This window comes from Homo sapiens, chromosome 2 (assembly GCF_000001405.40).
Source record: "Homo sapiens chromosome 2, GRCh38.p14 Primary Assembly".
NCBI lineage: Eukaryota > Metazoa > Chordata > Mammalia > Primates > Hominidae > Homo > Homo sapiens.
Window position 1 is genome coordinate 134,417,093 of NC_000002.12, and position 26,453 is coordinate 134,443,545.

A 26,453-nucleotide genomic window follows, 5' to 3' on the forward strand; every position below is an offset into this window, starting at 1 on the left:
ATTGGTATACAAGTATTTTGAGTCTCTGCTTTCAATACTTTGAGGAATGTACCTACAAGTAGACTTGCTAGAATTTACTTTTTACTTTGAAATAATTTTACTGGTACAGAAAAGTTGCAAAAATAATATGGAGTTCAGGCATACCCTTCATCTAGCTTCTTCTTATGGCAGCTTCTACAAAACTACAGTACAGTGGTCAAAACCAAGAAATTAACATTGGTACCATAGTATTATCTAAACTACAGACTTTATTTGGACTTCACCAGTTTTTCCACCGAGATCCTTTTTCTGTTCCTGGATCCAATTCTGGACCCACATTGCATTTAATAGTCGTGTCTCCTTAGTCTCGTCTGATCTGTGCCAATTCAGTCTTTCACTATCACCCATGACCTTAACCACTTTTAAGGAGCACAGGTTAGCTTTTTGTACACTGTTTCTCAATTTGGATTTGACTGATATTTTCCCATCAGTCAAATTTGAAGTTATGCATTTTTGGCAAGAATATCCCAGAAGTGATGTACCTTTCTCAGCACATCACATTAGGGGGCATATGATGTCAATATGTTGTACTGATTGACCCCAGGTTTCTCCACTATGAAGTTACTCTTTTAGTCTTTTCTCTGTGGTAGGGGTAGTACTCTGGGGCTATGTTAGAATATCCTGTTTATCCTCAAATTTTTGTATCATATAGCAGTGGATTTGTATAGTGTCACATACTATACAAATAAATACAGTATTTATTGTATCATATAGGACTGGATCATGTCTGCAACAATGATTACTGTGGTATTCTGATGGTGATTTTCTGATTCCCTCATGATTTTTTAAATGCATGAAAAGCAAAGAAGCCCCTATCTTTTCTTACTGCAGTTTCTATATACAAGCCTTTGGGAAATGAATCAAAAGTAGCTGAGATTAAGTTGGCAACTGACACACTTTTGTTAAAACTGACTCTAAAGGTTTTAATGACACTGTGGCCACTGAGTATTTTTTTCCCGGGAAAAAAAAAATTAGGACACTCTTAAACACAATCTGAACATTGCCCAGTGAATGATGTAATGTTACATGGATCAGATCAGCCAGCGTGAAGTTATCAAGAAAAGCATTTCATTGTTTTCTATCAGTTGCCATCATTTTGTAATTTACTTTTTGCTGAGGTCATGGAAGGTTTTCATTCTTCATGCTGTAAGAAGAGAATAGGCATTGGAGCTGTCACACGGACATTTGGTTCCTCCTGTCCCTTCAACCCTTCAGATGATTCCACCAGCCCTTAAATGTGACTCTATTAGAGAAACTGTGGGATCCTTTCAACAGTCGCTCAGCAAGTGACCTCACACAGATGACTCCATCAGTCCTAGGCTCCCCCAGGAGGGCAGGATGCAGAGGGGAGTTGACAGGTGTTTAATGCATCCCCGCAGGGTGGTACTAGTTGCTGCACTGGGAGAATTCATCAATGTACATTTCCTGTTTTCCAGGAGCTCCAAATCTGATATGAAAGAGTTATAGGACAAATGCATAATCAGTGGAAGTGCATGAAGAAATAGCTAAGTGAATTCAGGAGGGGAGTGAACTTGGAGTTGTGCTGGGTGGAGGATGTGCAGGGTTAGCTGCGAAGGGGATAGTGGAGGAGCTGTGCTTTCAAGGAAAAGGAGGCGAGCGGGTCTCAAGCCTGAGAAGCATGAATACTGACAAGTCGGGGATACCCCAAGAAGGTCAGTTTGCTTTATGCAAGAGGGCAGGTTCCATCTGATATCTAGCTCCCTCCAGCAACATCAGACAGCATTGAGAGGGACCAGCGAGCTTGATCTCATGTCCAGGTGGGTTACCCTGTCCTGCTCTGCCAGCTCACAAAAGTCCACAAAATCCCTGTAACCAAAGAAGCTTTTAATGGGAAAAGAGCTGTCAACAGGTTCATTTCTAAGAATCAAAAATCCCTAGAAATTATCTTTTTTCCTTAGCAAATGGAAACATTGTAACCAGAGTATACATAATTACAAAACTATCTTTTTACACCCACACAAATCTTTCATATTAAGTAATAATTGATCCACCTAAATTGATCATATCAACTGCATACATGTCTCTTTGCCTTCAGTTGAAGAGAAGAAAAGGTCTGGATATCTAAATGTGGGTTTAGCTTTGTTTTTATTTTTGTGCTGGACCATTTTTCAAACCATGATGTCTACTCAGAGGGAGAAAAGTTCCGCAAGGCCTTAAGTAATGTGGCTGGTTCAGGTTATGTTTTAATATAAACTGGATTTTTATCTTTATATTGGGAAACATATGAGTAGGTTCTCGATCATTTTTCTGACATTTTTTAAGCCATTAGAAATACTCTGGCTTCAGGGTTTGTGTGTGTGTGTGTGTGTGTGTGTGTGTGTGTGTGTGTGTGTGTGTTTCCATAAAGAGAACTCATGTTCTCCTTGGAGATTTAATAGCCACTCTGAAGTAATGTCTCATATTTAATAAGATTTTCATTACTTTTACAAACTATACTCCAGTAAATTTATTGATTGATATACAATGAAGTATCTTAGATCAGATGGTTCTCAATAAATAGCAAGAAGGAACGTAACATTCAGAGGGGAACTAATGAATCACAAAATGCCTCACTCATAAAGCTAAGTAACCTTCAGTAAATGTAAATGAACAAAAGGATAATAGCTCAGCATTTTGTATTTTCCAAGTGCTTGGAGCAACCTTGTAAATAAGCAGAGACCTTAAAAGGCAGGAGAGGAGGGAGACTGCTGACATGTAAATTACTAAATAGTGACATTGATGGCAACTTTAACTTACCCTGATTCCGTCAGAAAATCTAATCAGTTCTCCAGGCCACAAAATGAAAATGATGTGACATTTTGCTCATCTTCAGAAAATACAGGCATAAATTCAGTCCTGAATTTAGGTTGGCAAGTTGTAAGAGCTGGATTAAAAAGCTGGTGTTTACATTGGGCCTTTGTCTTAAGAACTTAAAGACATCCTTTAAAATTGTCACCTTCCTTTTTATCCAAAGCTAAGAAGTTGTTGAAGGACCTAGATTTGAAGTTGGCTCTTCTCCTTTCCAGCTGTGGGGTCTTAGGGGAAATGTAATCGCCTCTCAGTCTCAGAATCGTCATTGATGCATAATAAACCTGAGAAATAACGTTTGTGCAGGTGATTAGCAGGAAGCGTAGGGCTTCCTTGGTAAGTGTTGAATTCAGAAGTGTGCAGAGAAAAAAAAATGGAAGTTTTCTGAGTTCCGTGGGCCTGCAGAGAGTCTGTAGCTTTTATCACTGACCATAGAGCTGAGCCGAGGAAGACAGCACCTGTCAGAAGGGCGGGAAACTGAAGAGACTGATGACGGGCTGCTGCTGGATAGAGGCCCAGATAACCTGCAGTCAGCAGAGGCTCACTGCTGGGCCCAGGGACTTGTCGGGCTTCCTGCCTTGAATAGCACATGCATGCTCTTGGTGTGGCAGGATACAAAGAACAGTGGCTAAGGGAAAGACGGAGGGGTGCCAGTTAATTCCTCTAGCCCTGTGAGTATCCTGAGGAAAAGAGGAGAGCCAGCTTGACCTCCAAAGCAAAGGCCTGAGGAGAAGAGAAGAGCCAGCTTGACCTCCAAAGCAAAGGCCTCAGCACTGGCAAACCCAATATTTCCTATTGTTATAAATATGAGATGAAATTTGTAAATTATATAACCTTGCCTACCCGTGTAATTTCAAAAGGGAATAATTCTCTAACAAATATAAAGGAGAAATAAAAGGAAAAGAATTTCTAATAAAGCAATACATATTTCAGTATTATGGAATCAAGAACTGTGCTGTCCCATACCCAACAGCTATACCAGGCACTATGATGCCTTGTTTCTCCTCACAATGAGTGTTTTTATTTAAAAGGAATGAAACATTCAGCTGAATATGGTCAGCCTTTTTACTTAAAATTGACATTATGAAGGAGGAGCGAAGCCTGAGTGTGTTTACGTATGCCCACATATAAATAGAATTGCCAGTAATGTGATAGCTCCAAATATAGACTAATGTGGGTATGTTTTACTGGAGACTCTGACATCCTCAGTGGCACTGACTTTGTTGCTTTGATCTTTCTGAAATGATGACAGCTCATTGGTGACGTTTCAGATAAAACAGAGCAGAGACATTGCTTCATTTACATGGTGATTATGTCTCTGGATAATTCAATGTATGTTTGAACTGTCAAAAAGTTAGATTCTGACTGGGCATGGTGGTTCATGCCTGTAATCCTAGCACTTTGGGGGCTGAGACAGGTGGATCACTTGAGGCCAGGAGTTCGAGACCAACCTGGCCAACATGATGAAACCCCATCTCTACTAAAAATACAAAAACTTAGCCAGGCATGGTGGTGCGCACCTATAGTTCCAGCTACTCAGGAGGCTGAAGCAGGAGAATTGCTTGAACCCAGGAGGCAGAGGTTGCAGTGAGCTGGATCATACTACTGCATTCCAGCTGGGGTGACAAAGCAAAACTCTGTTTCAAAAAAAAAAAATAAAAAACTAGATTCTCTAAGCCCACGTGAAAGCCCTGCAGGCCATTTGAAAGTTTCGTGGGCAGTGGACAATTCTTCCTGTGCAGGACTGTCCTTGGACATTGTGAAGTGCTTATATCCCTGGTTCCCACCCACAGACTAAGGGTAACATTCTCCAGTTATTATGGTAGCTGAAAATGCTCTCACACGTGGCTAGAATGCTCCCTTTACAACATGACCTTAAAGGGATATGAGGACAGAGGTGGAAACAAAATCAGGGGATAAATTTAGCTGTATTAAAGAATGGACTCAACTGAGCACAGTGGCTTGTGCCTGTAATCCCGGCAGTTTGGGAGGCGGACACAGGAGAATCATTTGAGGCCAGGAGTTTGAGACCCACCTGGGCAACATACAGAGACCGTGTGTATACAAAAAAAAAAAAAAATTGTTTTTAATTAGCCAGGCATGATGTGCACATCTGTAGTCCCAACTACTCAGAATGCTGAGGCAAGGTGATCTCTTGAGCCCAGGAGTTTGAGGCTGCAGTGAACTACGACTGGGCAACAGAGCAAGACCCTTTGGGGAAAAAAAAGAAGAATGGACACTTCATGAATTCAGAATTGTCATGGTTTGCACTTGGTTTCTTTGACCACATGTTGTTTTTAAAATAAAACCCCCTTTAGGACAAAAACTGCCATTCCTTGTTTTTCTGAATATTATGCTAATTATTATTCCTGAAACCATCCCAAAAATTCTGTGTATTTCTGATGGTGTCATTTTTTTCTATCACCTTTTGTATGCACCATGACTTAGCCTCCTGGGACTTTAAAAGCCTTGATTTTTCTTGTAATTGTCTATGCTGACCTTTCTGTCTTAGCCAGGAGAATAGATACTGGTTTGATCTAGTAATAGGTGATTTTCGGGGCTGGGTTCTGGGTAGGAGAAACTGTTCATCATTTCTTGATGTGATGTTGGGGGCTAAAGCCTCCTGTAGCAGCTTCCTTGTCACCTGGTTGTGACATTATCTTATTTCCAAGTGGGATTCAAGGTACAGAACCATCACTGTTTTGTTATCTGCTTATGGATGGTTTTGATCATCAAGGGGAAGGACACAGTGTCTTGTTACCTACACGATTATAACTCAGTACCATAAAAAGCATAGCACTCCATCTAGCACAGGTTATTTTAAAAATTGCTTGTGAGACTGAGGTGTTCGGTTCTTTTCCAGCTGACATCCCAGCATCCTTACGCTGAAGTTTTCATCGGGCGGCCACATGTGTGGACTGTTGACCTCAACAATCAGGAGGAAGTAGAGGATGCAGTGAAAGCAATTTTAAATCAGAAGGTTGGTTCATTTTATTCCACTTTCCCTCCTTTCTAATGTGACCTGAAATGTGTATAAAACACATCATAGGTCCTTGTTTTTAGCAAACAGATCTTTACCACATCAGCTTAACTCTGGAATTAGAAAATAACCAAGCTGCAGGATTTGGCCTGTGGATTTCATGAATGTTCTGTGAAATGGAAACAGAGCTGGTATCCCGATGTGGGCATGGATTCCATAGACCGTTTAGACATGACCATGGATCCCAGGCACAGGAGCAGGAACTGGAGTCATACTTGGTTCAGTGACCTGATTATGTTGCTCTCACAGAGATCTGAAAAGATAGCCCTGCTTCCTCTACAAAAGAGGGAGAAGTGCAAGGAAATGCTGAGGAATGTTTTTATAGAACATCTGTTTGTTTGTTTGTTCTATCTAAACATGTAGTAGAATTTTGTAAAAGTAACTACATTTCTGGCCTCTTCTGATCAATTCAACAGACATTTGTGAGGTACCTACCATACACAGAGTGCTCTCTGAGTCACCTGGGGTTGTGGAGGGCGGGGTGTTTACTTCCATAATCATAGAGGAGGCTGGCTTCCCACCTATCAGAAGTTTACCATCCAGTAAAGACGAGTTCAGTTATCCTTTCTCCCAACTCGGAGCCCACCGTGGACTCTCACAGCTGCACTCTGCTGCTGTACTTTGGTGGGAGCACTTTTTACACTTAGTTGCGATGCTTTAAGAGAAGCCGGGGTAGGCATGTGGGAGGGCAGGCTGGACGCACACAGTGTGGGTTCAGTTCTAGCTCTACCACTTACTAGCAGCTTCCCCTCATGTATAATGTAGGGCTAATATTACCACTTGATTGGTCACTTGTGAGGAGTAAATGAGATAATGTATGTAAAGTGCTTAAGTTCAATGTCTACTTGTGTTTAGTGTTTAGTCAATATTATGATTTTTGTTGATAGTCTAAATTTCTACTACACCATTAGCAACATGAAGTCAGGATATACATCTGTCTCATTTCTGTATTTCCGGTGCCCACGTAGGGATTTACCCAATGGATAGATGGGAGAGAGGAATAGATGTCTGCAAGTAAGCATAATACAAGGCTGAATATGTTCAGTGCCAAAGCAACATGCAAACGCTCCAGGAGCGGAAGCTGGGGAAGCCTTTCTGGAGAATGCAGCCTTTTAGTTAAGTCTTACAGGATGAGGAGTAATTTGCAAAGTAAAACTCAGAAGTGGGTGCAGAAAGGCATGGGTTCAAAGCACAGTGTGACTGAAAGGGAAGAGGCTGGAAAGGCATATATCCTGGGAGGGATAGCCAGTGTGCCCATGTGGAGGCCATCTTACCCTCTGGGAAACAGAACAGGATAATCAGTTTGTGGCCCACTGAACTGCTGATTTCAGTTAATTCAGAACATCTCCAGGGGAGTGAGGGCACTCCGATGCATTATCTGTGCTCTACCCGCTTCAAGGTGGTCTGGTTATGGGGCTTTAGTGTCAGCTTCCCATTGATGATACATACAATCCCAATCCCAGTTTCAGCAGTTTCAGCAGTCCCCAACCTCAGGAGACCGAGCTGATAAAAGAAGTGCCAAATGGAATGTGGTTCCTCTAGGCTGCCTCAAAATATCTGCCACACACCAAAAGCTTCACTACTGGAGTCATTCCTATGGAAGGGTGAAGGTTCTTCTTTCTTGATTCTCCCAGTCCCTTAGTATATGAGCTTCCTAGGGCTGCCGTAACACAGTAGTGCAAACAACTGAGTGGCTTAAAACAGCAGAAATTTATTCTCTCTGTTCTGGAAGCAAGAAGTCTGAAGTCAAAATGTCAGCAGGGTCATGGCCCACCCCCGAAGTCTCTAGCTAGATATCCTCCCTTGCCTCTTTCAGCTTCTGGTAGGCCTAGGCATTTCTTGGCTTGCAGCCTCAAAGGTTTGATCTCTGCCTCCATTATCCTATGGCTTCTCTCTGTATGTATCTCTGTCTTTTCGTTTTATACAAGATTAGGGCCCACCCTAATTCAGTGTGACCTCATCTAACTTGTTTACATCTACAAAGACCCTATTTCCAAATAAGATCACATTCACGGGTGCTGGGGGTTAGGACAGCATATCTTGTAAAGGGGTACAATTCAATCCACAACACTTAGTTAATGCTTGTACTCTTGAGGAGAGTAATTTAAAAGCTGAGGTAGAAGCAGAAAAGAAAAACACACCAAGATACATTATAATCAAACTGCTGAAAAGCAAAGATAAGGAAGAAAACCTTGAAAGCAGCCAGAGAAAAATGTATTACATTTAGAGTAATAATGGTATTAACACAGCCAACTTCTCATCAGAAATAATGGAGACCGTAAAAGGGTCCTCAGGAGCCAGAATATGTGTGGGGCCTTTCAATAGGCCATGGTAAACGTTCAGGGGTTTTTTTTCTCGTTTGTGTTTTTAGTTTTTTTTGTTTTTGTTTTTGTTTTTGTTTTGTTTTGTTTTTTTGTGGTTGGTTTTTGTGTGTGTGTGGTTGGTTTTTTTGTTTCTTTCTTTCTTTTTAAGTGTTGAGGATTTTATAAGTATGATGGGAAGTTTTGAACAGGGGGATGAGATGACCTAGTTTACTTTGAAATTATGAAGAGAAATTACAGATTCTGCTTACTCAGAATCCTATGGTTAGTATATGGAGGAGCCGTGACTCAAACCCTGGCCTCCTGATACTTTCTAAGACCATTTCTTATTGAATGATGCCAAGCCACATCTGTCAGGTCAGACCATGGAGGGCTTCTCATGGAGGCTGATCTCTAAAAGCAATTGCCTGTAGAAGTTGTCCCTGACTTGGAAAGGTGAGTTGGTACTAGTGGAGACAGGAAATCTCACAAGGAGGGAGGCCAAGAAGAGAAAATGGAGGGGAAGATAAGGGAAAATTTCCAAGGTCAGCAGGAACTTCACAGTGCAATCTGTAGGCATCCTTCCTGTGGCCCTCGCCATATGAGTAACAGTCCTTTTTTTTTTTTTTTAAACAAAGCAGGATGCCCAAGAATACTTCCTTGCTTCTCCACAGCTGGCCTAGCTTGGGTTTCTCAATGACTGGATGTGATTTAGCATTCTTCTTCATTCTGTCCCCCAAAGAGGCCTTCACTTGTTCCTAAAGAACTTTTATGCAGAAAACTGCCCGCTCTCCCAGCCCCCAGTCCACATTAACAGCTGTCACTTCAGAGGCTGTCAGGACTCTGAAGAGCTTTCCAATGCAGAAGCCCCTGCCTGCCCTCACCCACAGGGTCCAGCAATATAGACCTACCTTCTGACTCACCGACTTCCTTCCTTCCTTCCTTCCTTCATTCCTTCCGTCCCTCCATCTCTCCCTCCTTTTTGCTTTTCTTTTATAGGAAAATTGTTTGCTTCATATCCTTTAAAACAGTGAACTGCCCCAAAGCAGTGAATGAGTCAACATCCCTTTGGTTAAAGTGGGCTAGGTTGGTAGGAGAACAGAGGAGGAGCCATTTTTCTGTATTTTTGGCTTTGAACCCTTTGAATTAACTTTCTTTCATTTTCTAATGGATTCCCTTTGGAAATGTTGTTGGAATGGTGCTTGGGTACTCGGCGTGCTTCCTAACATAACTAAATCTGTTCATCTCATGAAAGATGACCATGGATGTTTATTTCACTGTACAAATCCTACTTTAACACTGATAAATGAACCCAGATATGCCATGTTCTTTGTTTTAGATCATTCCTTCTATGAATCTTTGAGAGGAAACTTATCTCTAGGCCAGCAATAGAAAGCTTCTGGAGTCACCCATGGGTTGAGTAAACATCCTTTAAAAGAAAAGAAAAAATTTTACATTTTGTGTGAAGGGCTGTGTCTGGGTTAGAGAGGGAACAGTAAGTTCAAAAGCTTGAGTTGACAAGGAACAAACTGAGAACATGAAAGTCAGTTCTTCGTAGTATTTTGAGCTCTTCAGAGATGAGCTGTCTAGGAATAGAGTGACCTCTCTGTTCTTGTAGAATAGTCTGCCATGATATTACAGTATTTACGGCTCAGCCTCTTTGAGCTCTATTCTGACAGCTGTAGGCCACTGTGGCCCACATTTGTGCATTTGTTCAGCATTTGAAGACAATTAAAATTTCTGAAAATCATGGTTGAAGATTTCAATGTAATGTGTGATTTGGCATACGAGAAAGGGGGAGATGATGCCCTGAGACCAACTGCTTGGCTGCCAACTAAGGAATGTTATTTCTGTTCATTGTCCCATTTTCAGCAAGCTTCAATTATAGAAGTTTTGCCTAGTTCTCCACCCTGTAGATCCCAGCAAACATTTTAGAGGTAGCTGGTGCTGGTGAAGGTGCCCCTCCGTCTACCCTATTGCTGAGAGGAGCTGTTGGGCTCCCTGAAGCAATAATAGACTATATTGCTGGTGATTTTCTCTCAAATGAAATTTCCATTTTAGATTGGTAATACACCTGAAAACACAGGCCTCATAGTGTTGGCAGACACTGTGCAGCAGAGATCAAACCCACATTTCTTCCCCTTCTCCAAGGTGTCACAATATTGATAAGATTGCCTCCTCTACCCTAATGAAGCATCCTGTAGAGTTTCCTACTCCCCTCAAATAAAATCGGGCTCTTTAGCATAGAAACCTCAAGGCTTTTTTGGAAATTCAGTGAATTTTCCACCTCGTCTCACCAGTTCCCATAATACTGAGCTGCAGTTACCTGCTGTCCTTTCATGTTAAAGACCACACTACTTGTTCACCAAGGATGTCTTCAGCATCTTGGCCCTCTCCAGTTTGGGCCTGCTAGACTCAGCCTGCCTTAAAAGCCCAGCATGAGTAGAAGTCTGCTTTGACCCTCTAGCCTCCCAGGACCCCCTAGCTGACTTCTTGTGACACTTTATAACTTTATTTTTACACCGTGAGTTCTTCGGATATAGGCTAACCTCACCTACAAATACAGACCAAATACAGGTCACTGTCACGGATCCTTCAGTTGCTCATTGTTGCCTTACAGCAGTGACCATGCATTCATTCAACAGATGTTTGCTAATTTCCTATATGTGCCACACTGTGCTCATCACTAGAATGTAAAGATGACCCAACAGCATGGACTCTGCCCTGTGGAAATTACCTGCTAGCAAGTGATAACTTCCATCTTTTGTTGAATGCCCACTATGTGCTAGTCACTAAACTAAGCACCTTTTTTCTCCCAGATAATCTTTGCAGCTTAAAAGAGGTGAGTTTTTCTTATCACCCTTTTACATATGAGGAACCTGAGACTTAGAGATGGCAAGTCATTTGCTCAGAGTCCCACACCTAGTAAGGATCAGCTTGAGATCACGACTTGCAAGTCCATAGTCAACCCTCATGAGGCCGACTCCTGGTGTTAGCACCCGTGTATTGAGTGAGTCGGAGGACTGAGGAGGTGCTACATGTTCTCTGTCCTTCTCCTTCATGGTATCATGCTCTGTTTCCACAGATTGAGCCATACATGCCATATGAATTTACGTGCGAGGGGATGCTACAGAGAATCAATGCTTTCATTGAAAAACAGGTAAGGCTTATCAGAAGTCAGTCTGTCTTTGCTGTGTACTGCTTCCTGTGACGCCATAGGGCTCTCAAGAACATTTAAGAGCTCACTGTGTTTCTGTGGCTATTTTCCTGCTTTGGGAGACTCTAGAAGCTGGATAATAGTAGCACTGTCATGGTCACCCAAGAGAACCAGTATTCCCTTGGAGTAGGTATGTTCTTGATGACAGTGTAAGGTGAAATGGAAACTTATAACAAGAGAGATGGGATGATTACTGTGAAGATGCCCCTGACCATCAGGGTCTGTGCCCTGAGTGGGTTCTGAGGCCCATTCTCACCTTAAGAAAGGCAAGAATTGAAACCAGCTTTTTCTAAGCATTATTTTAATAATACATGTTCAGCAATTCTAAATGTTAGGACTTTTTAGAGGTTTTCAGACATCTTCTAAAAGCAGGACCCTTTGTCAAATGAAACCTTATATGTATATAAAACAGATAAAAAGCAGGACAAAGCCAAGGAGGGTGCCAAGAGTTCCACCTTCCCCAACAAGGTTTGGAAACTGCAGCATGTGCTCCTAGAAGTAAAGGCCAGGAGCCTGTTGCTATCATTTTATAGCATTTTAATTCCTTGGACTTCAAAAGCAACACAGAGCTAGAAATAGACGGACTCAGAACCCCTGTGGGTAGGAGAATATGAACTCTTTGACTAGATCCCAGAAATAAGGTGCTCTTCCTAAAGGATAAAGCATTTTTTAAGGCAATCAAGGGATCTTTACACAATAGGGGATGAGGATGGTGCAAGCTGAAAATAGAAATGGTGTATTGAAAATCTAAGTAGGCCCAAGGTGGGCTTCAAAGGAAGAGTTGATGGTTTGAGGAGACTGAAACTGTGGCGAGCAGCCAGCAGCCCTGGGTGCTGCTGTTGGAGCTGGGAGCCGTGGTCATATACTTCGGGGTGGTGTGTCTGATATGCTGAGCTTTTGTTAGCAGCAAGAGAGCGCGCTCTGCAGCCAGGCCATGTGGGTTTTACTCCTGGCACCATGTGTTTCTAGTTACATGACTTGGGCATGTTACTTGGCCTCTCTATGCCTTAGTTTCCTTGTCTGTAAAATAAGGATGATGCTAATAGGGCCTACTTCGTAGGGCTGATGTGAGGATTTAATGAGCTAATACATACAAAGTGCTTAGAACAGAGCCTGGCACATACATAGTGCTCAATAAATGCAAACTGGTACTGTTGATTATTTAATACATTATGCTATATTGTACTGTAATACACTACTTTGTAGTATAATTATTTGGTTTCACGAGAAACCATTTGAATCTTTATCTCATTCAGCCTTTATATGACACCAGAATGACAGTATCATCACAACTCTAGCAACCACATCCATACAGATTTTGTGCCAGCATGTGCCAGACACATCATAATATAACATCTAATTCTCACAGTAATTCCAGGAGGTGGTAGTAATAACCCCATTATCTGGATAGTGGAAACCAAGACTCACAGTTATCAGGCTCACAGATTGTGGAATCAAGATTTGATACAGTTTGATGTGAGGCCAAGTCTACACCAACCATGCTTACCAGGGCCTCAGGAGACAGAAGGTGTCCAGAGCTTTGCTTCCCGTCTTCTTGCATCATCAAGGGCTGCTCACCCTTCCTGCAGCTGCAAAGAGGAGTTGCAGGGCCTCCTTCAATTATGGGTCTTAAGACATCACAGCTCTTGCCGCCATCTCGGCAGCTCTCTTGAGATCATACTAAGATCCCTGCAGCTGCTGCTGAAACCCTCTTTGCCTGTCTCCACGTCCTCTTAGGGAAAATAGTTACCCAACTGCCAGGCATAAATGACTCTTGATCAGGTTTATTTGAAGGCTTTTATTTCTCCCCTGAGGCTCAGGAATTCCAGCCAGTCTTTAAAAGTTACCAGGTCCTCTGTAAGCCTTGCTGGGCTTCCTTTCAAACAGGAAGGTCCTGTTCACCAAATAGACCTTGCTAAATGCTCCATAATGCAGAGGCTCCACCTGGCTTCACCTCTATATCCCTAGTAACCTGCTGGACACATGGTCGGTGCACAGTAACTTCCAGGTGACAGAAACAATGAAGGAAGGAAGGGAGGAAGGGAGGGTGAGTGTGCTTTTTATTCCTGTGTGTCAGGAACCAGGAAGCTCATCTTGGACTTCATGATTTGGAATACATGTTACCAAAATTGTCTGCTGGAAAGCATGCTAATAAAACTGCACCGCCCCCCACCCCCACCATATAGGCCTTTCTGCAGAGATCTGCAGTTCACAGAAATCCAGAGGTTTCTTTTTTGCCTGCTGTTGTTGATTCATTCTTCTACTCTGAATTATTTGTCAGCTGGAACATGCCATGGGCTGTGTGGTCAGTTGGGGAGGACAATAGCTCCAGGTCCCCATCCCTACCCTCAAGTAGCTGCAAGTTTCATGGAGAAGGCAGCCAAGTCCACAGGCAGTAAGTGCCACTGCTGTAGGTTCAGCCTGGTAATAGTGAAGCAACAGGATGCTTGGGGATCACATGGCCCAGCCCGCCGAGGGAGGACGGGGGAGAAATGGTAGAGTGTATCTGAAGGCATCTTGCAGGAGGTGAGTCCTGAAGGCAAACTGGTAGCACAGACTGAAGGCTGGACAAGTCCAGATGTGAAGGCCTGGAGGGGGGAGAAATGTCATGGGGAATGATAGGCACTTGACTGAAGAGAGGGATGAGGTAAGAGACCAGGCTGGAGGAGGAGATTGCAGAATGTGAAAAGACGCTGAGGCTCGGCTGAAGAATTCCAGTTTGATTCTGGGATAATAGGAAGCTAAAGAAGGGCTTTGTCGCAGGCTAAGGGGCAGTGGAACTGTCAGATGGGTGCTTAGAAAAATCATTCCAGGAATCTTGTGTTAGGGGCATTTCTTATTAAACATTCTCCAAATGTTCCTAAATGAGCAATAAAGGGGGCCTATTTTGAGTTTATCTCAGAGATTCTATTGAACCCAGAATGTTCCTCTGATGCCAGAAGGAAGATAGGAAGCCAAGACCCCATTGGTTCACAGATTGGGTCTGCTACCTCTTTTAGCTCCAGACCCCAGTGTTTTAGAGGTTGGAGTATTCATTATTTTTTGCAGCTAGACGAATATCTTCAAAGGGCAGCGAGGATGGAGAGGAGGTGTTCCTGGTATGAACAAGAAAGCCTGCAGCTCCGAGGAGGCCCTTCCCATCCCTTGAATGGTAGGAGCACTGCAGCCCTAATTAGGCCAATATCTGCCTTCAGAGTTCTCCATGTGATCTGCAAGGAGAACACAGAAGCTTTTACCCCAGAAACCTTTCAGGGTTGTCCGTCATGCTCAGCCAAGGCAGTGGGAGCCAGACGGAGCCAACAGACAGCAATCGAGGGCACGCCGGGCTTCAGTGTGCAGTTGAGCAGTCGCCAGCAGGAAACCCACCTCATACCCAGTCCTCCCTGGGTACAGGCACCCAATGAGAAAGACTCCTGGATCTAGGAAAACCACTTGCTCTTTTCTCTTAATGTCCCCACTTCCTTTACTGTACTGAAAATGTTGATTCAGAGTGCATGCTCTTTTAAATGAGCTTTCTCAAAGAGACGCTGTCTCCAGCAGGGAGAACTTCTTTGTAATCTAAGATCAAGCACTGTTGTTCCCTATCCTCAGTATGTGTGGGCTTGTTAAGGTTTTCATTATGCATTTCTTGGGAAAGTCTTTTGTATTAGCCTCAGGTCAGAGAGTATAGCAGGACTTTTTTGAAGGAATGGCAATTTCAGATTGATTTATTAAAACCATACATATGCTCTTGAATTATATTTTCTGTTTCCTGTAAAGACACTGTAAATATATAGCATGGTCACAGTCATGTTAATTTGTAAAGAGCTGTGTGATTCATCTGAGAAGCATTCTGGAGAGAGGGAGGGTAAAAAAAAGAGTTAACTCCAACAATGGCTGTGGAATCAGCTGAAGGTCCTAGGATGTCTGTTCATCAGAGCCCAGAATAAGCCCACTATGGAGTGTTCTGGATGCAAGGACAAGCCTGTTATGAATCTGGATAGTCCAAAGGTGGGAGCAATGGTAGAGGTGACAGATTGCAAGGAAAGAGGGAGAAATTGAAAAGGGGAGAAGGTTGGTACTAGCTTGAGGAATGTTTACTCTTGAGAAATCAATAGCTTTTGTTTACCCAGCCTTTCCTGCACCCAGAGAGACTAGGCAGGTAATGATTAAGCACAGAACCCTAGCAGCTGACTGCCTGGGTTCACATCTTAGCTCTGCTTGTCACTGTGTTTCTGACCTTGGGCAAGTTACCTAACATCTCTATGCTCTTTCCTCTTCTGAGAAATAGGGATAATGCAACCTACCCATCAGGCTGGTGAAGGAAAAGGTAGTTTGATAATGTTTAGCACTAAGAACAATGCCTGGCCCATGTGGGTGCTCTCAAAGCCTTCGCTACGAGTTGCCGCAGGAGCCCAGAAACCAACCAAGGTGTGTTTTTCAAACTGGCTCACTGAGGTATAGTTTACAGACCATAAAGTTCACTGCATATAAGGACACAATTCAATTTTTTTTTTAGCAAATTGGTAGTGTTACACAACTACCACCACACTCTAGTTTTGCAGCATTTCCGTCACCCCAAAAAACTCATTTGTCCCTGTTAGCAATCAATCCTTGCTCCCACCCCAGGCCTAGGAAACCACTGATCTGTTTCCTGCCTTTTTAGATGAGCCTTTTCTGGAGATTTCTGGCTTTCACTTAGCATGATGTTTTGGGGGTTCACCCATGTTGTTAAATGTGTCAGAACTGATTTTATTGCTGAATAGTATTCCATGTATGTACAGATTAATATCACAATTTGTTTATCCGTTCACCAATTGATAGGCTTTTGGGTTATATCCACGTTTTGACTAATGTGGTAGGTGCTGTTGTGAACATTCACATGCAATCTGTGTATGGACCTGTTTTCGTTTCTCCTGCGTAGACTCCTAGAAGTGTGTGAATAAGGTAGATTTCTGTTCTGGCTCTTCAAAGGTGAGTTTTTTGCTCAGTGGAATTTTGCATGTGTAGAGATAATCCATGGAGATTGCTGCCTACTGCTCAGTTTTATAGGCACCGTCACTGTTTCTTTTGTGGAAACAAAAATTCACACTCACTTCTGGGAAACAACCTCTGGGGCCGTGTGTGGACACAGTTCACTGTGTTTTAAGGGAAAGCACACGCCGAGAATGGTCGGTTTCAGCCTGGCACCTGAGGTGTGCTAATCCAGTCAGTTACTCAATATTTATGGAACACTTCCTGTGCCAGGCCCTGGATTTCTCAGCTGTAACACAGATAACCAATATGTGCCTTATCCCTCAAATAGCTGACCGAACGGGACCCAAACCCCATTTTCATGGTCCTACCTGTCCTACCAACTTTTTTTTTTTTTTTTGCCAATTTCTGGTTTTTCTTCCTCTAGATCCTGCCTGCAGACATTTATATTTGAACCTGTGTTCTTGGTTCCAGACAATGTGGGTTCCCACCAAAACCCACTTGCACCGAACTCTCATGGGCTTATTAGTAACTCTGTGAAAGAGTTGGCTGCAGTGGGTGGGGTGAGGGGTTTCTGGACCCCCTTCACACACCACTTAGCCCTCTCTGACTGGCCCTTCTGTTACCACTCCTCCGCTTTGCTCTGAACAAGTGACCCTTTCCCTGGCCCAGCAAACCAAGAGGGCGTGAACAAGCCAGTCCCGCTACCTGGCGCTTCTCCCAGGGAGCATTCTCCTCCCCTTCTCTGGCCCCTTCTGTATTTTTATGGTGTTTTCCCCAGGCTGCTAATTAATTAGCCTTCTTTACAAAGGCGGTGCTCTCACCTCTTCTTCAGGGTTGGCTGTGTTCATTTGTTTAGAACATTGTTCCGTCTCATAAATTGGTTGGTTATTAGACTTTTTGTTGGTTTATGACTACTGCATGGAAATTTCAGGATAGTCAAGCACATTTAGAGAAATTTGGTGACTGGTTGAAATAATTGTTAGGGAAGGATGCAGATGTTCTGTGTTCTAAGCAGGCTTGTTAACCAGATTGGAAATTACTGTTTATATCTCATTTTTGCTGCATAGGAGCTCGTTGAGTTAGAATAGTTTCCTTTTCTACTTCTGCTACTGTCAAAGCCTCAAGATGCAAAACACATTCAGTTTAGTTGAGCAGCTCCTGCAGTCTGTTCCCAGCACCAGCTATCTGCAAAGCGCCATGTTAGAGGTAAGCTGCTAACTTCCATACAGCCTACAAAACCCAGATGGCCTTCCCTATCTCCTGGAAGCCTTCTCTGACTGCTACCACCACTTTCCCCTTCCCTAGAGTTAATCTTTTCCTTTCTGCAAGTGGCCTGCGCATCCTATTTGGGCATTTGTTTCATACTGTTCGGTAATTTTTTAGCATCGGCCTCTCTTACTAGACTGCGCACTGAACCTCTGAGTCCAGGGACTGTGTCTCCTTCATGTTTATATTTCCAGCACCCAGTGGGAGACTTTAATAGTCATTAGTAAAGTACTGAATGAATGAGGAAACCTTCAAAGCCAGCTTACATGAGTGTTTCATGGGGATTTGTTGAACAGAGATGCCCTGTCTCAGGGTCTCAGTCCCGTATCTCTCTCCTGTGCTGTTGCGGCAGCTTCCTGTCTCTCTGCTGCTGCTTTGCTCCTGCAGTCTGTTCCCAGCATGCAGATCCCGTCACCCCTCTTCCCGGAAATCTCCAGTGTCTTCCATCTTACTTCATGGAAAAGCTAGAGCATTCAATTAGACCCCAAAGATCTGACTCCCAGGGCCCTCCTGAACCCCATCACTTCTGACCCATAATATACACACTCTACCAAGCTACCCAGAAGCGCCTGCTCCCCCTGGAATGTACTCCCTTGTCAAATCTTCTGATCTAGATGTTCCTCTGCCTAGAATGTTCTTCCCAGATGCTTGCATGGCTCACTTCTTTACTTCCTCGTGTCTTTTCCCAGCTGCCACCATTTCAGTGATGCCTTATCAGGACATCATCTCTGCCAACAGTCTCACTTCATTCTTTTCTAGAATACTTACCACCTTTTAATGTACTATATATATTGACTTATCCATTGTTTTTTTGTCTCCCTCGCTGAATGCAAGCCCTATGAAGGCAGGGATTTGTGGTTCCTCTGGTTCATCATCCTTTCCCTCACACTCCAGGGACTAGATTGCATGTCGTCATGGTGACAGCCAACATGCAGATGGTGTTTTTGTGTCAGGCGCTTTTCTGAGCATGTTATACATTATGATTAATAAACGGAGGAGGTAAGAGTCCACCAGGCAGTCTGAGCTCTGAGCCCTTATGCTTTTCTGCCTAGTAGCAAGTATTTGTTCAAAGAATGAAGGAATGAGTACTTATGATAAGGAGATAAGGCAAGTTGGCACTGCCTTATTAGCCTGTGTTGCAGTTGAATGAAACAGAGGATTCCCAGCCTTCTCTGAGCACCCAATGGGACTGGCACTTATGGGAGAGAAGAAGCTATGACAGGGGCTTCCATTTCAGTTGTGCCCTAAAAGCAGCTGGGCCAAAAGGTGGATCTTGTGGATGTAGGTGAATTATCATATGTAATCAGCCAACTCAACTTTTACCTCCAGACTCTTGCAGCAAAGAATGGTCAACCTTGGAACATTATCTTTAACATCTCAAAGTTCTTTCTTATCAGTCACCTCATTTTCTTCTCACAGGAATTAGATAAGGAGGGAAGGACAGATGGCATCATCCTCATTTTATGTGTGAGAGCAGGCAGAGCTGAAGAGACATCTATGAAGTCCCACAGCTGGGAGCCAGAATCCTAACCCAGATCCCCAGCTTTCTCCTGCCACCTTCAGGCCTCCCTCTGTTCAGTGTGATCATCTTTAGACTCTCCAGGTGGCAGCAAGCTTTGAGAAGTTCCTGCTGCTATTTTTACTATTCCTGATTCTGTTGACCCCCAAAACAGACTGCTGAGAGGATGCTAGACCATGCTCCTGGGGAGCACCAGAAAGGGTTCCTGGAGCTCCAGTGTTCAGCTGCAGGATTGAACTAAGCACACCTGTTGAGGGGGACCTTGAGAGGGGAGGCTGCTGTAGTTTACAAAGAAATGAACAAATAGGGCATATCAGCCCTGCAGTGCAGCTTTAAGGACATCTCCCATGGTTTGGGCCTTGCGGTGCCATCCTGCCCTGCTGGACCTGAGGTGCAAGGTGTCCATTCATCTAGGGCTGCCCCAGATTCTGCAGATGTCTCCAATGCAGTACCTTGGAAGCTCTACGGGGCACAGGCAGCTCTTCCAAGAAGGGCTAACAGGTGGAAAAGGAGCATTTATGGAGCACCTGCCATTTGCCAGCATTCTGCTCAGCTCCATGTCTTACTATCTGTTAGCCTCACTCTTTGCAGACAAGCAGGAGATGAGACCAGACTGGGTAACACACCCAAAGCACCACAGTGGTGGGGCAAGGCTCCCAGTCTGCTCCTTCTGACTTGAAGCACATTCCATCGCCATATCACTCATCACTTCCTCCTTGTCAAACAAAGCAAGACTCTGCACTAGCTTCAGGCTTTTGTTTTGTTTTTTGACACAGAGTCTCGCTCTGTCGCCCAGGCTGGAGAGCAGTGGCGCCATCTCGGCTCACGGCAACCTCTGCCTCCCGGGTTCAAGCAATTCTCCTGTCTTAGCCTCCTGGGTAGCTGGGATTACAGGCGCGCGCCACCATGCCTAGCAATTTTTTTGGATTTTTAGTAGAGATGGGATTTTACCACATTGGTCAGGCTGGTCTCAAACTCCTCCACTCAGGTGATCCAACCACCTTGGCCTCCCAAAGTGCTGGGATTACAGGCATGAGCCACCCTGCCTGGCCTCTAGCTTCAGTGTTAACCTTTGTGCTGCTTCCTGTACCCCATGAGGCTGAACATGAATAAGAAGCCAAGTTTCTAAAGAGTCTTCAAACTCAGTAGGTACAGAGATACTGCCCTCAGCTGTTTGTAGATGTCATGTAAGTAGAGATGTTCCACAGTTTTCTTGCCAGCCATGAAAGCCTAAACAGGAGCTTTCAGCCTTCGTGGGTCTTCATTTTCCCAGCCTAATCCAGGACTGGGTCAAGCCAAATCCAAGGTGCAGAGAGAAACATTCCCACTTGGCTTCTTCTGATGTAAATGATGTGATCTGGTCTAGATTTCCCGGTTGACTTATCTTTTCTGTTCAGTCACATGATTTGGTGTATGTGGATTTTAAAATCTCTTTATTATAAAATTTAAAGGCTGCAGAAGTTATCCAGTTGCTCCTAAAGAATTACAGGTTGAGCGGGCTGACATGGTGGCTTACACCTGTAATCCCACACTTTGGGAGGCTGAGGCAAGCGAATCCCCTGAGGCTAGGAGTTCGAGGTCAGCCTGGCAAACATGGCGAAACCCCGTCTTTACTAAAAATACAAAAATTAGCTGCGTGTGATGGCATGTACCTGTAACCCCAGGTACTCAGGAGACTGAGGCAGGAGAATCACATGAACCTGGCAGAGGGAGGTTGCAGTGAACCAAGATCATGCCACTGCACTCCTGCCTGGGTGACACAGCGAGACTCCGTCTCAAAAAAAAAAAAAAAAGATTTACAGGTTGAGTATCCCTAATCTGAAAATCCAAAATGCTCCAAAATCTGAAACTTGCTGAGCACCAACATGACACTACCATGGAAAATTTCACACATAAAAGTACTTTAACTTTGTGTAATGCTCAAATGTATTTAAAATATTTTTAAAAATTACCTTTAGCCTCCATGTTTAAGATATATATGAAACATAAATGAATTTTATGTTGAGATTTGGGTCTCATCTCAAAGATAGCTTATTATATATGTAAATATTCCAAAATCTGAAAAAATCCAAACACTTCTCATCCTAAGCATTTCAGATAAGGGATATTCAACCTATATAAACAAAGTTGCTTGCATTAGCCAACCAGAAAAACAACCAAAAAACACTTTACCTTTTCCAATGCCCATGCCCCCACTCAGCTCTGATCATCAGTAACTCCATTGATCACTGTGTGCTTTCATTCTTCCTGTCTGATGACAGCTGTCCCAATGGGATGGGCAGAGTGTCAAAGGCCAGCCAGCAGGTTTCCTGTCACCTAAGAAAGCAACGGCCACCAGTGATCACTGTGCCCCCATTCAGGGTCTCACAGGTCTGTACAGTCATGCTGTCTGCCTTAGTAGCAGCATTCAGACTCAAGTTACGTTGCGACCCATGGCTTAACAGGGGCCTGGATTGTGATGAAAATCACCATGAATATAAGGAGTCATTTGAGGGTCTTCTGTCTAGTTGTCTGTCTCTGGTGGTGCCCAGGGCTGTATGGGTCCTGGGGCACTCTGCTTACCCACTCACCCACTGTGCATCATTTTCAGAAGAGTAAGCTGCATCCTAATATCCCTCAATAATCCAATATGTTTCTTTTCATCTCTGAATTATTAGACCTTCCTGGAATTCTATTTGCAGCTGATAGGAATCCAAGTTCTAGGTTTCCTGCCAACTCTTCAGTGAAGCATTTTGCTCATTAACCACCAAAACTCATTCGGGCTGGAGTAGTCAAATCCCCTCATCATAGGAACACATGAGTGGAGGGCAACAGTGGGTTTGCCTGCCTTGTTGGAATCAGGATCCTTGATTTAAGGAGACTCTAAGAGAAGCTAGCACCAAGTAACCTAGTAGTAACCTATAGTTGCCTTTCTCAGCAGGCAATGCCTTTCTCAGCATTTCCTCCTTCAAGGAGATGGGAAGAAGCAATAACCCTAAGAAATCATCAGTATCATCATCTTCCTTTTTCTGATGAGGAAACTAAGGCTTCAGACTGTTAGGTATTTTGCCCAAAGGCTCACATAGCTGGTAAAAGCAAGAGGCAGGATGTGCTCTCAGGGCCAGCTGCCCACAGAGCCTTCGGTGGGTTTTGCTTTGCTCCTTCTTACTGTCTTTTGGCTCATTAAAAGTAACACAAGGCCGGGCGCGGTGGCTCACACCTGTAATCCCGGCACTTTGGGAGGTTGAGGTGGGCAGATCACCTGAGGTCAGGAGTTCGAGACCAGCCTGGCCAACATGGCAAAACCTCGTCTCTACTAAAAATACAAAAATTAGCTGGGTGTGGGGGTGCACACCTGTAGTTCCAGCTACTGAGGAAGCTGAGGCAGGAGAATTGCGTGAATCCAGGAGGCGGAGGTAGCAGGGAACCGAGATCGCACCACTGTACTCCAGCCTGGGCGACAGAACAAGACTTCGTCTCAAAAATATATCTATACAAGCACAAGGTTAAAAAAAAAAGAAAAGAAAAATGGCAACAGTATGCCCTCTGGATGCAGCTCTGGGCCAGCCCCTCTTCTGGTGCTACACCCACCTCCATGCCAAGGGGCCCGCCTGGCAGCATGAGACCCTCATATCCCTGTGGTGGCATTCCACATGACAGACAAGGGAGGGACAGAAACATTTCCTCGGCTTGCGTCAGTGCTAGGAGCCCTGGGCCCTGAGATTACTGATCAACTCCTCCTCCGCACAGATCTGGAAAGGAAACGTGAGGAAAAGTAGGCTACTCTAGAAGGACACACATTGAAAAGTACATCTCCTTACCACTCCTGGTGCTGGTACTCCATGTTACTGCTCAGTGGCAGTCCTCCAACCCTCTCCTCACCCCCGAGTCCTCCTTAGACCTGCTGGTTTCCTCTATTCCCTCTAGATCCCAGGGTCAACTGGCTCTGCCCCACTCGGAGCACTTAACACACATTCTTGGTAGGGGGTGCCATATTCCTGCTCATCCTATCACATGCTACTTAGACTTCTATTTCTCCAGTTCTTGAATATACGAAATGTTGTACAGAAGATCCTCAAATAATGTCATTTTGCTATAATGTTTAGAATGAAGAAAGTTGATTCCTGGTCGGGCCCACTGTCTGTGTGGAGTCAGCCCATTCTCCCTGTGTCTTCATGGGTTTTCTCCAGGGTCTCTGGTTTTCTCCCACATTCCAAAGCTGGGCACCTGAGGTGAACTGGCGTGTCTACATGGTCCCAGCATGAGTGAGTGGGGGTGCGCATGAATGCACCCCGCGATAGAACCATGTCCTGTCCAGGGCTGCTTCCCGTCTGGCACCCTGAGCTGCTGGGATAGGCTCCAGCCGCCCTCAACACTGAGCTGGAATAAGAGCGTTCGAAAACAAATGAATCGATACAAATTATTGTACAATAAAACTTCATAAAGTCTACGATAATCATACACATGCAAGAAATCAGAAGGGAACAGACCAGCTGGTGGAGGCAGGCCTGATTGCGGTGCCATGTTAGTGATTGATTGATAGTGAATTATGAGGTGGGAGGAGGCACTTCTTACGATTTTCACTTCGCAAATGTGTATTCCTCGATTGAACCCACCACCACAACTGCCGTCACTCACTGATTCACCAAAAATTGAGTAAATAATTTATCTTATTTGTATTTATTCATCTTTCTTAAATGTGTGTATAGCTCACATTTGTTTCAATGTTTAATATTAGAAGTGTTTTGGGTCTTTATTTAGAAGTTTGGTGATGTTTTTTGACAAGAAATGTACCATAGGAACTTAACTCTTGTTAATATCAATTAGCCTGTTGTAAAATTGGTTTCTTTATATTGTCATTTCGCTTAACGTTGCAGTTTCTGAGAGACTATTGACGACACTAAGTGAGGACTTACTGTGCTTGTTTTCAACCAACCAGCACTAAGTCCCTACCAAAGACACAGCACCATATGAGGTGGTGTCAGAAGTGTCTGCAGTCTCCTTGGCGTGATCTTCACCTCACAGCGTCAGAACCTTGCCATTGAGATAAAAGTAGCGCTTATGAAACAGTGTCGTATTAGGTAACTGCCAAGATAGGGTAGACACAGTGCCTTTGGAATCAGAGAAGAGAACAGACCAGCTGGTGGAAGCTGGTCTGAAGATGGGCCTTGAAGAGCAGAGGCTCTAAATAGCCTGGCTGCATAAGTGTTGATGGTGATGATTGAGAATAGCCACCCTTCACGGGCAGGCGTGGTGCCAAGCTCATCACAAGTATGACCTCTCATCCTGGAGCCCTTTGTGGAAGGCACTGCTGTTGGTCCCTGTCTTGAGGTTGAGTAAGCTGGTGGTTAGGGAGGTCAAGACCTGGGCTGAAGGCATATTCCAGCTGAGCCCCAATCCAGCCCATCCATGTGGCTCCCAACTCTTCCCCGTCCCTGTGCTCTCCCAGTGTGCCGCCTCCATTGCTAGGGTGGTTGGCAGGGCTGGGGATCCCCAGCTGTATCCTTGGACCTGTGGCTGATGGCTTCATTGTCGTTCTAGGACTTCTGCCATGGGCAAGTGATGTGGCCACCCCTCAGCGCCCTACAGGTCAAGCTTGCTGAGCCCGGGCAGTCCTGCAAGCAGGTGTGCCAGGAGAGCCAGCTCATCTGCGAGCCTTCTTTCTTCCAGCACCTCAACAAGGACAAGGACATGCTGAAGTAAGTGCCCTGGGGTGGGGGTGGGGACTCAGCCCCTAGACTCCAGCTGGCCTTGTTGGGTAGTCAGGTGAGAGGTACAGGTTTCCTCTTCCAAGCTACTGGGCTGTGGGGATAAGGTGTGGGAGGGGAGTAGGTTGCAGCAGGATCCCCCTAGAGAGTTAGCCCAGTGTTGTTACCGTTCCTTTTGGGTGAGATGAAGTCACCTGGCATGATGATGTGTTTAGAATTTAAATGGGAGTGTTGTATTTGCATAAATAAAGCTGTATCTGGGTTTGAAGATTGTGGGAGGTGTTCGGCTTGCTAATGTTGACCCCAAGAACAGTGGGAGTAGAGGTGGGCACAGAGCCACAGGTATAGATGGACCAGCTCCTCAGACCCCTGCTGGTAGCCAGGCCTCCAGCAGAGTCTGAGCAGTGCAAGGGGCTGGTGGCAAGTGACATTGTTCAACCCTGGAGTCAGAAAGGAATGAGAAACATGGAGAAGGAGCCGGCACAAAACTGCCCACAACAATCTCCAAGAGCAGCCTTCTCCTGCGGCCTGTTCCCTTTTGCACTTTCTTCTAGCTCACTGACACATGGTGCATCTCAGGCCCCAGCAGACCTGAGTCTGCGGGGTCTCTTGGTAATGAGGCGAGTGTGGCACTGGGAATGCTGGCCCAGGGCTGCACAGGGGAGGCGCCTTCCTTGAATTTCTTACCTTGTGCTTGCATTACTTAGTGGCACCTTTCCTTTCCCTTTGCATTGGCATTTTGAGTTGGGCATTTGCAGTTCCCAAATTTCCGTGTGAGGTTTCTTCTGGCCTCTCACCCATGATCTTTGACAGGCTTGAATCCATTCTCTCAATTTTTATCACACCCCACCGTAGTCCACATATTGCATAATTATCTAGCCTCCCCACCCACCCACCACCTTAGTAGCTCTGATTAGGTGTTTTATGCAAGAGACTAGCCTACAAATAATAAGACCCTGCTGTCCCAACTCCAGATATTCGATCTAGCAGGTGTACCATTCCAGGCTTGAAGAGGATGTTTAGGAAGTGGAGTGGACCTGGGGCTCAGGGCTCACCTGTCCCTGTTCAGGCTTCACGCCCTGTTAGTGCTGTTGTCCACTGTTGTTATTTGTGCACCATGGTCTGAGTTGGCCTGTTTCTTGTGAGTCGTCTTATCCTTAAGTGTGGTATAAAACCCTTCGTAGGGAGAGTGTGTGGCCTCTTGTGTCCTGCCTGCTGCAGGGAAGCTCTCATGAGTAGGGGTGTAAGCTATGTTTTTTTTTGTTGTTGTTGTTGTTGTTTTTGAGACAGGGTCTCTCTCTTTTGCCTAGGCTGGAGTGCAGTGGCGCGATCTTGGCTTACTGTAACCTCCACCTCCTGGGTTCAAGCAATTCTCACGCCTCAGCCTGGGACAAATAGCTGGGACTATAACTGCACGCCACCATGCCCAGCTAACTTTTGTATTTTTAGTAGAGACAGGGTTTTACCATGTTGGCCAGGCTGGTCTCAAACTCCTGGCCTCAGGTGATCTGCCCGCCTAGGCCTCCCAAAGTGCTGGTATTACAGGCGTGAGCCATCGTGCCCGGCCCTGGTGATGCTATTTTTTTCCTGGTCTTTTTATGAGAAGACCCAGGCACAGAAG

General features: G+C 44.6%; 1 protein-coding gene across 21 annotated transcripts in view, besides 1 other annotated feature; it reads left to right on the plus strand.

The window, feature by feature from the left end:
• The window catches only part of MGAT5 (alpha-1,6-mannosylglycoprotein 6-beta-N-acetylglucosaminyltransferase), a 334,687-nt gene that overhangs the window by 297,158 nt on the left and 11,076 nt on the right, over positions 1-26,453 (plus strand). For all 21 annotated transcript variants that reach the window (XM_006712534.4, XM_047444397.1, XM_047444400.1 and 18 more), the window contains 3 exons: positions 5,711-5,827; positions 11,273-11,347; positions 24,666-24,823. In XM_006712534.4, the coding sequence (XP_006712597.1) occupies positions 5,711-5,827; positions 11,273-11,347; positions 24,666-24,823 (350 nt within the window). The remainder of the gene's footprint in view (positions 1-5,710; positions 5,828-11,272; positions 11,348-24,665; positions 24,824-26,453) is intronic.
• Positions 15,146-15,440: a silencer, noted in NCBI's record as "tiled region #6492; HepG2 Repressive non-DNase unmatched - State 5:Enh, and K562 Repressive non-DNase unmatched - State 23:Low". NCBI's record gives its function as "represses a minimal TATA promoter and a strong SV40 promoter by Sharpr-MPRA in HepG2 and K562 cells {active_cell/tissue: HepG2 | K562}" and the evidence as "EXISTENCE:reporter gene assay evidence [ECO:0000049][PMID:27701403]".